The sequence below is a fragment of the Homo sapiens genome, chromosome 14 (genome assembly GCF_000001405.40).
Source record: "Homo sapiens chromosome 14, GRCh38.p14 Primary Assembly".
Taxonomy (NCBI): Eukaryota; Metazoa; Chordata; class Mammalia; order Primates; family Hominidae; genus Homo; species Homo sapiens.
Window position 1 is genome coordinate 56,266,121 of NC_000014.9, and position 16,649 is coordinate 56,282,769.

Sequence of the window (16,649 nt, forward strand, 5' to 3'; positions counted from 1 at the left end):
GGTAATATTTCTAAACATAAAGCCAAAATCATAGAAATACTAAAGAAAAATGGAGAATTCTTCACTTAATCTAGGAGTGAGGAAAGCTTTTCTAACTATAAAGTAAAATCCAAAAATCATAAAGCAAATATTGATTTGTTTGACTCTAGAAACTTTTTAAAAAATCTGCATGGCAAAAAAACCCACAACACTTTAAAGTCAAAACACAAATGAGTGGGAAGATTTGCAACTCATATCACAGACAATGGAAATCTTTTTTAATATATAAAGAGTGCCTGTGTCAATAAGAGACAAGCAACCCAAAAAATATTGAGCAAAGGGTATAAGCTGTTCATAGTAAATAAAAAAAGAGATAACTCTTAAGCATTCTTAAAAGCCTTATTCATAGAAATGCTAATTAAAAGCACTATGAGATTACTCTTTTCACATATCAGAAGGTAAAGATATCTGCCATTTTATGCTTTACTCCCTATAGTGGGGAGAGTGGGGAAAACATACTCTCATATACTTCTGGTGAGAATGCAAATTGGTGTAACTTCTGTGAAAAGTAGTTTGACAATAACTATCAATATCAGAAGTGGACATACCATGTACCATTTGATTGAACAATTTTGTTTCTAGGAATTTGTCCTATAGATATATTTCCCTGTATGCAAAACGAATATCTGCATATTTGTTGCAGTACTGCTTGTAAAATAAAATTTAAATAATTTAATGCCTGCTAAAAAAGATGCATTAAATAAACCATGCTGCATCTATACATTAAAAAGAATGAGACAACACTGTAACTACATTATATAGACAATTCTATAAGTTATTGTGTTAAAGAAGCAGGGAACAGAACATTGTATGCAGTATGCTATCATTTCTGATGTGTATACTGTGCTGGTATAGGCATAGACTTTTCTCTGGAAGGATATATAAGAAACTAGTAGTAGTGGCTTTCTTAGTGATAGAAGATTGGAATTGGAAGGGAGATACCATTCACTGGTAACATTTAGTAACTTGTGTACATATTACCTTATTTAAAATATCTTTTGCTCTACAAATCAGTCAAGAACCCGAGGGACCCCATAAAATTAAGTGTTATAGAGATTATGAATGTTATAGTAATCAAAATAATTGGCTAATAGTAATTATGTGTTGTGTACTGTCCTTTGGGTACTTTGCAGACATCATCTGAGTTTTTGCAGCGAAACCCTTCAAGGTAGTTGTACTTTTCAGATTAAGAAATAGATTCAGGGTATGGCCTAAGAATACACAGCTAATAAAGAGCCTTTTAAGAAGTTCAGTTTAATGATGCTTGAGGAGTAACATCCAGATATATCCAGGCTTTGAAGAAAAACATTTGTGAATGGCATTGCGTGGCAGCAGGTACTTCCAAGGAAAGACATTCATTATTTTACTCAAAATTTTGTATATTAAGATTGTAATCTGCATGTTTCCAGCAGGCTCAACCTCTTGAAAATACCAACTGCCAAAATATATTTTGCTTTTTGAGAATAAATATTTTCATGGTTCTGTATAACTAGAATGTGGCCTTATTGATCTGGTTTTATTCCATAAAGAAAATGAGATTCTTCAGCAGATGGACAAATTTTAAATTTAGGCCAAGTCTTAAAAAAATTCAAGTAAAATGAGGGAAAAATTGGAATCTTCCCGTTTTTGTTTACATCTTTTAAATGGGGACTTTTGCTTCTATCACTATAACTAATCAATAGGATGTTGTATTTTGTTTTCTTTGGAGCTTATCCTTGTAAGTTTCAATCTTTATATTCCTCAGTTACTCAAGGGATCATTTTGACAGCTGATAAACTGGCTTACATATTAAAACAATTACATGGTAAGTCATTGGGTATCTTAGTATAAAATCGATTTATGTCAGATTCAATTTATAGCATTTGGAAGTTTGCCTGCTCATGCCAACAAACTAGGACTTGCATTTACTACTGACTCACTATAACACACAATATATTGTGGATGCCTATGTACTTTTTCTCCAGTGCTCTTTAGAAACAAGTTATGTACCTTGTTTTAACTAGTAAGTGCATTTTTGAAAGAGCAATAGGCAAATCGAATTATTCAACAAGGAATTTTGCTTTTTCAACTTAGTCATTCGCAGGATGCTTTATTTTTACTTATGATTCATTTTTGTTAGGTTTACTTGTTCAAAGTTTTGCTTCCCATGGCAAGTAGCTCATATATATGTCAATACTTAAATATTTAGAGAAGTAAATGTAGGATGTCACAGCAGGTGATTCATATGCATCCTTTAAAGCATTATCTGTTGACTAGATAGATATCTCCTTACAAAATTTACCAACTCCTCTTCTTACAGGAGACTACGGTTAGATTTTCTCTCTCTCTTAGTCTTAATATGTACAGTAAGAAATCCTATCATTATTTTAATTTTTACTATAGCACTTGGCATTTCACAAGAATGTTGCACCTTCATTTCTTCCCCTGCGGCATTTTGCTCACATCTGGAAACATAAAATGTTCAAAAGCAAATGCAATGCTGTTTTAAAGAATGGGGTTGTTCAGGGTCACTTTCTCCATCTCTTATCAGGTGAGTGTGGCCCTCCCTACCTTTCTCTAGGTAACCATGGGTGGTCCTTACTGCAGGATCAGTCCCTGAAGTGACCAGCAGTTACGATGCCTGCTGTGTGTGTGTGTTGAGATGGGTGTGATTTCAGAGCATTGCCTCACACTGTGGTATGTGACGCTTTCAGATCTGCACCCCTGCTGCATCGTCTCATGCTTTGTAGGGAGCTGCTACACGGAGTCATTGTTGGGAGGTGCCATCAGAGTCTGCATTAAAGTGTGTGCTTTCAAAACTGAGACGAAAAGGCAGAAGAACTTTGAAAGTCCTGATTGGTTTTCATTTATGGTAACTAATGTACAGTGTGTGATTGGTAATGTGAACATGTTTATATAGATATGTGACTGAGTCACAGCATTCTTATGTGGGAAAGCTACACTTTGCCCCTGTTTTCCAAAAGATGTGGGACAAATAAAGCAATAAAAAGAATTGATTGGGTTAGGTGCAATGGCTCACACCTATAGTCCCGGCACTTTAGGAGGCCAAGGCAGACAGATCGCTTGAGCCTAGGAGTTAGAAACCAGCCTGGCCAACGTGGAGAAAACCCATCTCTACAAAAAAATACAAAAAATTAGCTGGGTGTGGTGGTGTGCGCCTGTGGTCCCAGCTACTCAAGAGGCTAAGGCAGGAGAATTGCTTGAGCCTGGGAGATTGAGGCTGCAATGAGCTGTGACTGTGCCACTGTACTCCAGCCAAGGTGACAGAGTGAGACCCTGTCTCAAAAAAGAAAAAAAAAATAGATTGCACATTAGGTTGACTTAATACGTTCTAAAACACAATGAAAAAATCCATACAAACTTCAATATGAACCTTTCACTTATTTAGCAATTTGTCATAAACTGGGTAGATATAGTAGTTGAAACTCAATTCTTAGACAGCAGTGACCTTTCTGGGGACAAGGCCAGCACTTGTACAGGTGACAAAACTGAGGCCAGAGTACTTACGTAACTTGCCCAGAGTCCTACAGCCAGCCCGTGTTGGATTGGAGATTCAGCCCAATCTGTACTATTAGCGAAACAGTACACTGCTGGAATTGAAGGCTGGTTTAAAAAGACTGGAGTTCTTACCCTCAAGGAGCTTTTCATCTAATTGGAAATGGTAGGATTCCTGGGACCAGGTGTCCACAAAGCATGTGAATGTCACCTGCCCAACTCTCTGGCTGCAGCCTTTGGTGTTCATGTTTTCCCAACTATATTCAAGTCAGATCATCTTCTGAAACTGGTACCACCAACCAGATCTAGCTTCTTTGTACTTGAGCGTGACCCCAAATTAGAAACAGACTCTCCTCACATATTCTTACTTTCTCTGGTGTCTGTGCTTGCTGATAGATTGAGCGTGCCTGCCCCAGCCCTGTCCAGCACTCTTGCGTGCCATAGATTCTGTACCAGGGTTTATCGAATAGCTCAGTAAACCAATCCAGGATGGGCTCAGGAGTGGCCCAGGGCCGAGTTCAACGCTATTGCCTCTAACAAATAGGCCTATGATTTTGATTTACTAGAAAATGCTGTTGATTCTGATGAAATCCAAGTTAGCACTTTGTGACTTTCTTATCGTGGCCATGGTTCCGGCGCTTGTTTGAAATATGGTTCCTTGAAAAGGTAGAATATTTTAAAGAGTGTGTTTCATGCAACGTAAATTGTGAATTCCTTTAGCCACCTCCTCTCTTTAGAAATAGTACTCACACATATTTTAAACATAAATTGACAAAGATGGCAGAGACCTCATCTTCCCTGTAGCAAATTGAACCAGACTGATTGAGGATTTATTGCCTAATTATACTTGTCAGCCTGACATAATAGTCATTAGTTCTAGAAAAATATGTTTGTCATACCAGGATTATCTCTAATTAATACAGTCAATATCTAGCATATACTTAAAGCCAAACAGAATAGTGGGGTCCAAAAAAATGTTATGGACTGCAGGGAACTGCTCTAAATACAGGTTCATATTTGAAGGGAGAAAGTGCCATGTTTTATATACATCATTTTCTCTTCTTTAAATCCAGTGAAATCAGTGCTACTGACATTGACTCCCTTTATTGATGAATTATAAAGGTAGTAGTTGAAAGATCAGAGAGGTTATGGTTGGTGAGTAGCTGAACTCAGATTCAAACCTGGTCCAGTGTGTTGTTTTTTTCAGCATCAGAGTCCACTAGCCAAGTTGATCTCTGCAGTATCTACATGTGGTTATTCCATTTTTCTAAAGTACATGTAAAGTTTGAGCTCAGCAGAATAAAACCAGGTAGTCATATTGAGAAAGCCAGTTTGATATAAATGTTTCTTCTGCCCGATGTTTAAGCATTTGCTGGATTATCAGTGGCTACTGCAGTGAGGTGATGCAATTTTAGATGCAGTTAGTATCATGCCTCACGGGATAATTAGTACCTGCCCATATACGTTTGATACCCTCTAGTCCTCACCCTGCTCTGCCCCGACATCACAGTGTGCACAGTGCTCGAGATGGTAAAATCATTCAGCAGTTATTTCCAGGCTGCCGCACGCTCGCTGTAAACTCATTCATTTGCTCATAAATGTGCAGCTTTCTGCCATAAACATAAATATCAGAAGTTGTTTCTGAATAACAAAGGTTCAACTCATTGGCCCCACTCAGACCTACCCCCAAACAGTTTTATTATTATGTTTTCCCATACCGATTAAAATGTTTCTACAGCAATACACCTTGACATAGAAAGTTTGTATTTCATAACCAGAGCCACTGTGAGAGGTCAGTATAGTTATTTTTCCAATTTCGTTTGGCCCTTTCTGTGGTAGTCATTTTGTATAGTTGTTTATTTAGATTTTATAGTGGACTGAAATATTAAATTACCAATTAGATTTAACAGTTAAAGTGGCTGAAAATAAACTTGCCTAAAACACACATCATCATCTGCAGGGGAGCCGATACTTAGTCTGCGATGCCATATTAAATACTGCCATGTTGTGGCCATCATTCAGAAGGCTGTTGAGAACACAAGCGTACATTACGTTTCTTGGTAGAACCTAGAAGACAAAGAGGTCACTAGCTGTCCCAATAGAGCGTTCAGGACGTTTCCTAGCCCTGCTCCCATCGGGCAGGCTGTTAGAGAACCTCTGACTTCTTCACAGAGAGCAGATCGCGTGAGCCCAGGCAGAGTGAGGAGATGCATGCTCATCCCAGAGCACATCCAGCCCCAGGGACTCTTTCTTCCCAGGCATTTTGCGGGGACCTGAAAGGCAAGTGCAGTGGGCAGCCTCAGAGAAGAGCACCACGTTCAGATATGTGGTGCAGAGCTCTTCAGAGCAGCTTGGTATCTAGAAAACGTTGCTTCAGCATACAAGCCACACCAGATCTCTGGCCCTCTATTTTTGAGAGGCAGAAACAACCCTAATTATATCTACACACAAAGAAGACTATGCAGAGTGTGCTCATTTCAAAAACATTCATTTGATTTAGCCAGACTATTGTGTGGCCCAGGAACAATAACTGCAGTTCTATAATAGTCAACTTCCGGGATGTCTAGACAAGAGGGATATTAAACTCCTGAGTCATTTGGTACTAAGAAAGACTTCATAATAGAAAAATTGGTGTCCTTTGAAGAAAAAGAATTTCATTTTATTTGAAATGCAGATGCGAGCATGCACATGTATGTGCGTGCATGCATACACACACGCATGCACACCGCATTCCCTTAAATGAGGCAGACTCTAGTAAGGCATACCTCTTGGTATACAAAGGCAGACCTAGTAAGGCATACCTCTTTGGTATACATCATACATGTAGTTTGCAAAGCAGCCTCATAGTTTCTAACATACATGGTGATTTTCTTCTTCTGCCTTCCTAGTGTCCCCTCTATTCTTGCTCTAAATGTATTAAGGACTACAAAAATGTCCATGTGACACACTTGGTGGCCTTTGTCTTCTCTGGCAATACTTTGAATGATTCACAGATACTTTTTGTAGTCTATAATCATTTTAAATATTAATACAAAATTTTCTTCACATCTCAGTCTTCTAACCAGAGATTATCACAATAAAAATGCATATTTGCTTTAAACACAAACAACCTCTTAACATACATTCAGGAGCACATAACACTTCCATTAGAAACATAGACCCTGCTCTGTGTAGAGACACTGCTGCCTGCCATGGTAGACACACCTGTTCCGTTCTCTTGGGTGTAGGTAAGACGTACACACAGATAACCGTAGTGTCTTGGGTGATGAGTCACATAAGATTTTTTAAAAAGTGCTCTGGTACCAGTAGGCCTTGTAAGCTGATTGTTTCAGTTGTCTTTTGTTGTGTAGAAAACTACCACAGAATTTAGTGAGTTCACAAAAACCTTCTGTTTTATTCATTATTTTGTGGGTCAGGAATCTGGGAAGGGCACCACTGAGTAGTCAGTCTCTGGTCCACATCTGGGGCAGCTGGAGCTGGAGGATCCACTCTCACAGAGGCTTCTCCATGCACATGTCTGCATCTTGGTGCTCCCAGGCCTCCCTATCCCCATGTGGCATTTCATTCTCCAGGCCCTCTCCCTGTGGCTTTGGCTTCTTGGAGCCTAGTGGCATGTACGTAGTCAGGCTTCTTGCCCACAGCTGGGAACCCCCAGAGCGGCAAATGGAAGCTGCAAGCCTTTCCTGACCTAGTATCAGAAGTCCCATGTGTCACATCCACGGCATTCTCTTGGTCATTGAGCAAGCTACTGAAGCCAGCCCAGATGCCAGATGATACATGATGATTGCACAAAAGCATCTTCAGGACAGAAAGTTAAGGGCTGCAAAAAAGCTGATTATAAAATTCCTTTGAGGAATAAATCAGTTTTGTAGCTACTGGCTGCCCAACAGCTACTTTGTATTTGAGGAGAAAAAGTGAAATGTTACACATTGTTTTGCATTTGATTTTTGCCTTAATACAGTGAAATCAGCCCGGCTTTGACTCCCTATTGGATTAATTATGAAGGTAATAATGCTAACTGTATGTGAACAACAGTGGCAAGAGAGGGCTCAGGGGTGACATGAAGTTTTTAAGTGTGAGTGACTGTTGTGCTATTGACTGAAATAGGAAACCCAGAAGGAGAAAATGTTTGAACCAAACCATGTAATGATGCTGTACACTGCAAGTGACAAAATGCCTAACGAAAAGCAGCCTAAAACCCTGATTTTTATTCCAGAGGTCTGGGGACAGGTAGTTCCACGTTTGATTCAGCATCTCAAAGATGTCAGGGCTCTGAGCCAACTTCTGTGAGAGTCTTTTGACCTTCCTCTCACGTTGCAAGGTGGTCTACTTCAGCTCCAAACATCATGTCATATTTTAGTGACAGAGAAGGGAAGGAGTCTCTCTCAGTGTCTCTCATCCCCAGGAGCTCCACACCAGATGTCTCCTAAGTCCCACTGGCCGAAAGTGGATACATTTCCATGCGCTAGCCTCAGAGGAGAGTGGGAGAGCTAGCGTGGATGTCGTCAGGCTTTTTCGCAGGAAGCCAGCTCAGCCAGCAGGGAAAAGGACATTAGTAAGGCAACCAACAGTGTCTGCCACAGTGATAAATCCCATTTTCTCTCTCCATACAGTTGATAAAGGCTCACTTAGCAGCCTTATAGAGCTTGAATTAAATGGGCTAAATCATAACTATAATAAATTAATATTTTCTGGATATGTGTTAGTTTCTCTATTGGCTTTCACTTTGTGGTTGAGAGCTAACACTGCTTCTTAACAAATAAAAGATTTAATTATTTATTTCCCTCATACTTTAAAATTTGGATGAAAATTCTTTGGCTGCCATTAAGACATGTTACCCATTGTTTATCCTGCAATACTGCCTTCTGTTATCATTACATTTTATATAAGTGCCTTTACGTGTGTATATGGGTTTATAAGAGGAAGAAAATTCTCTAGACGTATGAACCATGTTTGTTTTAGAGTCTGGAGACTCACAAAACTCCCTGACATTAGTTTTGAGTTGTAAGTTGAAGCAGGACAGCCAGTTCTAACTGTTCTCATCCCTGAATGGCAAAGGCTGGCAGAGCTGAGCCTGTGACACAAGCAGCATAGCTGTAAGAAAATACATATCCTCAGCTGAGAAGAAAATACTTGACTCACATCTGGTCTGGGCATCTGGGATTGCAAAGTAAGGCTTAATTTCTTCAGCTGGATAAAGCTGAAATTCTTTAATCTGTTTATCTGTAATTGCCCAGTTATATTTTAACCTAATAACATTTATACTGTAATAAAGTGGTTTTTATAGACTCAAAACATTTGAGCTGAGAGTGTCACTACTGGTACCTTTGCTAGTGAGAAGTAGGGAAGGTGAGGGGAAGACCTGAAGAAAGAAACTCTAAATCTCATCTTGTATCTGTAGCAGTTCATTCGTTCATTCATTCATTCATTCATTCATTCGTTTGACATTCATTGAATGCCTGCCACACTGTTGATGCTGGGGTGGAAAAATAAATAAGACTGAACGTGTGTTCGAGGCACATGCAGTGTTATGAGAACAGAGGTGGCGACCTGCGTTCTCATCACAGCTGCCCAATAGAGAAGTGAATATAGGAAATCATTATTGTCTACACCAGCAGTCCCCAGCCATTTTGGCACCAGGGACCAGTTTTGTGAAAAACAATTTCTCCACGGACCGGGGAGGCACATGGTTTTGGGATGATTCAAGCACGTTACATTTGTTGTGTACTGTATTTCTATTATTATTTCATTGTAATATATAACTAAATAATTATATAATTCACCATAATATAGAATCAGTGGGAGCCCTGAGTTTGTTTTCCAGCAACCAGACAGTCCCATCTGGGGATGATGGGAGACAGTAACAGATCATCAGGCATTAGATTCTCATAAGGAGCGCACAGTCTAGATCCCTCACATGCGCATTCACAATAGGGTTCACGCTCCTATGAGAACCTAATGCCGCTGCTGATCTGACAGGAGGAGCTCAGGTGGCAATGATAGCAATGGGGAGCAGCTGTAAATACAGATGAAACTTCGCTTGCTCGTCTGCCACTCACCTCCTGCTGTGTGCCGTGGTTCCTAACAGGCCACAGACTGATAGCAGCCTGTGGCCCAGGGGTTGGGGACCCCTGGTGTACACAGCAAGCTGCTTGAGCTGGTTTTCTTTATGATGTTAAAGAGCTTTCTAAATTTGTGTTGATGTAGTAAGGTCACAGCATTATGTTACAGTAATTGTGTTTGAACTAAGTTATAGTGAATGCCAAGAAAAGACCCTACCTGCTCTCCTTTCTGATATTTTGGAAATAGATTCCAAAACAACTTAGGGCCTTGGAGAAACTTTTATTTCCAAAATACTGGAAATGATTGGCTCAAGTCAGTGAATCTGTCATTTACTAGAAACTCTATTTCTGAAAGTCATATTTTAAATGTTAAAAAATATTGTTGAACAATTGATACTTCTAACAAAAAGTTCAATGCCATATGTACTTGCAGACTTTTCCGTAAGACATGACCCAAGAAGGAAAGTGAAAATTGATCTCAGGTTTAAACTCTTCTTTAATTTCCCCTAACCACCTAAATCTGACTCTATTTTAGACTTTAATACATGGAAACAAGGTCATGTGAGCCCTAATTCATGTAATTGAAGGAAGTCTACACTTCCCCATTTATTGACGATGATCCTGCTGGTGGCCTTAGGCGCCCTGGTTTTTACTGCCACCAAATCCCAGTCCTGGCTTTAGTCTCATCTTTTCAGGCCAGCCCAGCCCACGTTTCTGCTTTCCATAGGTGCAGCATGTTGGACCCCAGGGCACCAGTACTCCGGGCCTTTGTAGGGTCAGGACTCTTCTCCTGGCTTAGCATTACCAGAGGGAAATCCTTGCCAGAACTGGAAGTGACTTCGAGGTGACTATCATGCTAGTTCCGAAGTTCCTCAGCCACCCATGCTGCAGGGTGTGCATTACCTGCTGCCCCGGAGCCACTCCCCACCTTCATGGGATTTGTTTCTGCCTGCAGTCTCTTTTCCCACTTTCATACCTTCCCCAAATTCCAAGGCCTCCAAATCACAGCCCTTGGCTAGTACTTTTTTAATCTAAAAGACACAGAAAAGGCATTTTCCTAACCTAAAAGCATTCCCCTTTCCTAACCCTGGCCATTTGCCTTAAGCAACGTACAAAAATGGCAGAAGTCTGATATCACAGATTTTCTTTAAATGGGCTCAACATTCAAAGCATCCTACATCAGTGTTTTCTTTCCATTTTGGGGGCTTGGGTAAGACTCCCCTTTGCTGTGGGCAGTTTCCAGGTAATGTGATGCTTTCGCTATAAATACCCTTTTTCATGTGCTACATAGTCTTATAGTTTGGGTCACAAGAATATTTTTATAATGAAACACCTTACAATAATTTGTGTCCAGTAACAACTTGCAGCCTATAAAATGGCTGTTTCTGGTGTTTTCTAAAGTGGCGAGGAAGTGTCTCTAGGACAGAAATCTCCAAACCCCAAGGTAGTGGTCTGTGGCCTGTTTGGAACTGGGCCGCACAGCAGGAGGTGAGGAGCAGGTGAACAAGGGAAGCTTCATCTGTATTTATAGCCGCTCCCCATTGCTTGCATTACGGGTTGAACTCCGCCTCCTGTCAGATCAGCGGTGGCATTAGATTGTCATAGGAGCACGAACCCTATTGTGAACTGTGTGTGTGAGGGATCTAGGTTGCGTGTTCCTTATGAGAATCTAATGCCTGATGATCTGTCAGTATCTCCATCACCCTCAGATGGGACCATCTAGTTGCAGGAAAACAAGCTCAGGGCTCCCACTGATTCAACATTATGGTGAGTTGCATAATTATTTAATTACATATTACAATGTAATAATAATAGAAATAAAGTATACAATAAATGTAATGTGCCTGAATCATCCCCAAACCATCCCCCTGATCCAGTCCATGGAAAAATTGTCTTCCACAAAACCAGTTCCTGGTACAAAAAGGTTGGTGACCACTACTCTAGAGCACCCTGTCCATGGCTGTGCTAGGCCTCAGGTGACCAGAGCGAGTCTTCATGAGACAATGACTTCCCAGTGAATTTGGGAGAAATACTTAAATGTTAAAATAGCAAATGTGTTAGGGAATAAAAAACAAAATTTATAATTTAAGGTAAGCTGTTTTAAGCATGAGCAACTCCATTTGAGGGCTGCTCCCCAGACATCTCCAGGTTCAGGTAACCCTTCCAATTCAGGCAAATGGAGTGGAAGTTTGAGAAACACCATACTTAAGCAGGTGCCATTGTACAAAAATGTATAACCTTTAAAAGTATTTCCCATTATTGCACTCGTTAACTCCTTGTTTTGCAGATCATTTGTACACTATAGACATTTTATGCAATATGTATATGCCATGAAAGTTGTGTTGGAGTTGATATATTTGTAAATTGAATGCATTTAAAATGCAATAGATACTTTATAGGAAACCCTAAAATAAATTATTTTGTAATCAACTCCTGATTGTTAGTTTTATAAGTTTGAGTTTAATAAATTATTTTTCTTAAAGTAGGTTTCTTCACTATTAAGATAAACATGTACTTTTTACAAATTGTTTTTCAGTTTTATTGAGGTATAATTAACAAATAAAAATTGTATATATTCAAGGTGTACAGCATGATGATTTGATATATATACACATTGTGAAATGATTACCACAAAAGTTAATTAACACAAAGATTACATCCACTTAAATTGAAAATAGTTCTTTATAAATTTGGCTTTCAAAAACAGTCACTCTCAGTGAATTTATCTGACTCAGATCAATGAAAATTTAAGACGATGTCTGTTAGTAGTGTTGAGTACTTTAAGAAGTATTTTTTAGATTCCTGACCATGTTAAAGAAGTATTATCTTAAGGAAGCACATAAAATAAAACATCAGCTCAATCATGAAATTCCTCAGGGCAGATTATTAAATAACCATGAGATTAACCAGGCTAACTAACTTCAGAGTTGATTTGGAATGTTTTACTGTTTATTGCTGTAAGGAATTACATTAGTCAAATATAAATGTTTAGTACATTTTCATTAACATGCTGTGTGTGTCCAGTTTCTTCTAGATGCTTTCTTGGTCTTCATACAGTGTCATCATTCAATAAATGTGTAATAGAAAAGCTTATTAAAATTTTGTTATACTTAATGTAAAAGATTAAAAATGAAGATAAGTTAGATTGAAGTAGAATGAATAGAACACAATTGAAATAATTTGGAGTCCACTTTATATCGATTTATTTGTTAATTTAGAAACATTAAAAGTATGTGACCACAACTTTTTGTTCAAACATATCACTATGGACAAAATAAGAATGATATCATATTATTCCTAGGCTATTTGAAAAAGAATATTAGCTTTTTCTGGCCTAAAATTTGAAAAAAATAAAATTGCTAGTTACCTTATTTATTAATAAAGTAAATATCTGACTTAACTAGTTGCTTATACAAGATTTAAGTGAGATGTAGAACAGAATACAAATATGGTTATCATTGGCTAGGACGGTGTATTATGATATTGAAATCTTAATTAGAACATTGACAGATTTTCCAGTGATTCTTTTATGATGCTGATAATCTCTATCACCTAGGAAAAATAATAATATGTGACTTATCTGTTGTGTGAAATCTTAAAACTTGAAATAAATGACTCTATTAGTCTAAAAATTCTATTTCTGAGTTTAGGTAATATGGAGAAAGTGTGTGTTTTTCTAAGAATGTGATTGAATCGAGTCTTGCAAACTAGTAAATAAACTTTGATTTGATTTAATAAAATATTGTTCACTTTAAGACAGAATATTTGATAAAACCAGAATTGTGACTCTTGGCTTGTCTGTGATTGACGGAATAGAGCATAGGGGAAAAACCTGACTGTGTGGAAAATGCTGGCTTGTGCTGGGCTTTGCCAGTAGAGTGGTGGCTCATAACTACAGGCAGAATTGATAAGTTGTTGAAATGGAATTGTAATGGATTTTTTTAAAATTTTATTATTAGGCTATCAGCTGCAAAGGTCAACACAGTATATCCTACACTTTGTCAAGGAATCAGACTGTGGTGGTGGAGTACACACATGATAAGGATACGGATATGTTTCAGGTAATATTTTTCTTTTTTAATAGAAATTTTAGCACGTTTTCCTTTAATTCTCTATTTTTTATATGTAATCAGATCTTCCAGCCCAGTATGTCCAGGGGGAAAGAGTTGAAGATAATATAAAAATTATTCCTGTTTGGTTGTTGAAAGAATAAGAAAAAAACTTAATTCTTTAATTGTAAAGGGAAATTATAAAGGCTACATTCTCAGACCTCAGTGCAATAAAAATAGACATTAATTAAGCAAGAATAAAAATTTTAAAAGCTAACCACTTTTAAAAGCCAACATTTTCAGAATACTTTCTAAGTAGCATTTGAATGAAAGGGACATCCAAACTACATTTATAGGTCTTTTCAGAAATAACTGTGGGAATATCATGTAGCACAACTGACAAGACGAGGCCAACATCTTACTCGGAAGAAAATGCCTTACGTGCTTTCATTATTAAGAGGAGGGAAAGAGAGAGAAAGAAAGAAGATCAAGGGACTAAACATTTATCTCAAAAGTTCTTTTTTGACAAAGTACAGCAATTAAGAAAGTACAGGATGGGTTTGGGCATAGTTTTAGTGGTATATAATATAAAGTCTAGAAGCACATCAAAAGAGCAGAAGGAAGGAAAAAAACATTCGTCAGTTAATGAATTTAAAAAAAAGAGAATTAATGAATATATTCCAGATTTAGTACTTTAAAACAACAAACAATTAAAATTTAGACTAATAACAGAAAAAAGCAAGCATAAGTTGGAATTGATGAGGCTTTGCATTTCCATATGGAGAGTTAAATTATTACATAAATGATGTCGAAACAAACATCAAAAGAGTATGATAGATACTAACATCATACTCTGCTAAAGTAAATTCTAGAGAATAAACATTTAAATATAAAACTGAAGGAACAAAAAGTTCTAGAAAAAAACTTAGGAGAATTCATATTCTTGGAATAGGGAAGGATCAATAGTAAATGAAGAAATAGATTTTACCCTACGCATTTTCACTTCTTTTTTAAATGTCACAAAAATTAGAAGTCGAACTAGAGACAATTAGGGCAACAAATCAAGTAGACAAAGGATTGATACCTACTGTACAGTAATCACTTTTCCCATGCTTTCAAAAATGGACAAAGAACAAAACATATAATTCTCAGAAGAAGAAATATAAATGGCCAATAAATATATAAAATAGTTTTTAAAATACCAAATGAATTAATAATAAAATACTCTTTATTACCTATTAATTGGAAAATATTAAATAATACAGCACTGTAAAACATTGTATGGAATTGGTCCCCCTGGTGGGACTGTGAATTGGTGCAACATTTCTATAGGGCAACATTGCAGTACTACCATGAATTTCAGCGCTCAGACCAATTGACCCAGTAATTCTAACTTCAGTCATTTTTATACGTAAATAATTAAGGAATATGAACAAAGATTTAACCAAAAAGTTGTTCATTGTAGTGTTGTATATACTAGTAAAAAACTAAAAATAAACCTATACTTCCAGGAGTAGGTAAGAATGATTACAGTATGGTGCATTTAAATGCAAAATACCATGCAGCCATTACATGATTATTAAATGGGAAGCGCAATAAAATAAGTGAAAAAAGGCATATGTCCACTTCATGCTTTATTTTTATATGCACACACATAAACATAGGTATGGAAGAGAGATGGGACTAGAAAGAAATGCACCAGCTCTTTTTCCATTTTCTGTAACATTGTAAAGTACAGGCCTAATCTGGATCACCTAATTCAGTACTTTTGATTGAGAAAGAAAGAATATTTTATGTGGTTTTTAAATGTATTTGCAGTAGTCCTGAACTTCAGCACCTCAGACTGATAAGAAGAGCCAAAGGCAAATTACAAATTGGGGAAATATTTACAATTTGTATCACAAAAGGTTAATGTCACAAATATATAAGGTACTCTTGGAAATCTCTTTTTAAAATACCTACAATCAGATAGACAAATGAGCAGAGGATTTGACAGACAGTTCACCAAAAAAGGAAACTAAGTAACTCTTAAAAATAAGAAAATATGCTCAACCTCATTTACAAAAAGAAAAATGTGAATTAAAACCACATAGAGATACCACTTTTCACTTGTCAGATTGGCAGAAATCCAAAAGGTTTTGTCAAAGATATGGGGAAAACAGACATTATCCTACATTCTATAAATTGGTATAGCATTTATGGGGTAGCAATTTGAAAATAGCTATGAAAAATACAAAATGTTTACATAGTTTGACTCAGCTCTTTTCTTTGTAAAGCTCTTCTTTCTAGAGACTTACCCCAGAGATATCCTTACCTACATGCGCAACGCCATTTGTACAGAGTTATTGCTCAAAGCATTGCTTAATAGGAAAAGATTGGAAACAACCTAAATGTTCTTCAGTAGTGGACCAGTTCAGTAAATTTGGGTACAGCTATACAGTGGAGCCCTCCAAGGGTATAAAACAGAACAAAGAAAAGCTGTATATATAGCCACAGAAAGAGCTCCAAACATATTAAATGAGTTAAATATTAATATTATTGAGTATATGGAGTCATATTGGTAATATATATTCCATTAATTTAAAATGCTACTAAATAAAATGTTATTAAATAATATGAAATATTACATTATTAAATGTTAATTTAATATGGTAAAATGGTTTAAATCATGCTTATATGCATTAAAAAATCTCCAAAATGATTAACAAGACATGAATGTAGCAGTTGCCTTTGTGGGGAAAGGGACTGAGCAGGTGGTATACAGGGAGATATTTTACACTTTTCGATTTTTGGAACTATGCGTATGTGTTAGATATTTAAAAACTAAATAATCTTAGATAAAATATATAGTCATATTTATAAAAATAGTTATTAAAGTGCCAGTTTGAACTCAAAAATAAGATTTATCATGTTTGGGCAAAATACTAAATGTGGTTTTACTCTCCATGCCATTCCATTATATAATCTTATAAATGTCTTCTTATTCTGTTAAGGAAAATATCTT

At 37.1% G+C, this 16,649-nt stretch overlaps 1 protein-coding gene across 8 annotated transcripts in view; it reads left to right on the top strand.

Annotated features, from left to right (window-relative positions):
• PELI2 (pellino E3 ubiquitin protein ligase family member 2) overlaps positions 1–16,649 on the top strand; it is a 183,114-nt gene that overhangs the window by 147,710 nt on the left and 18,755 nt on the right. For all 8 annotated transcript variants that reach the window (XM_011536990.3, NM_021255.3, XM_005267890.6 and 5 more), the window contains one exon: positions 13,556–13,657. In XM_011536990.3, coding sequence (XP_011535292.1) covers positions 13,649–13,657 — 9 coding nt within the window. In that variant the 5' untranslated portion in view covers positions 13,556–13,648. The remainder of the gene's footprint in view (positions 1–13,555; positions 13,658–16,649) is intronic.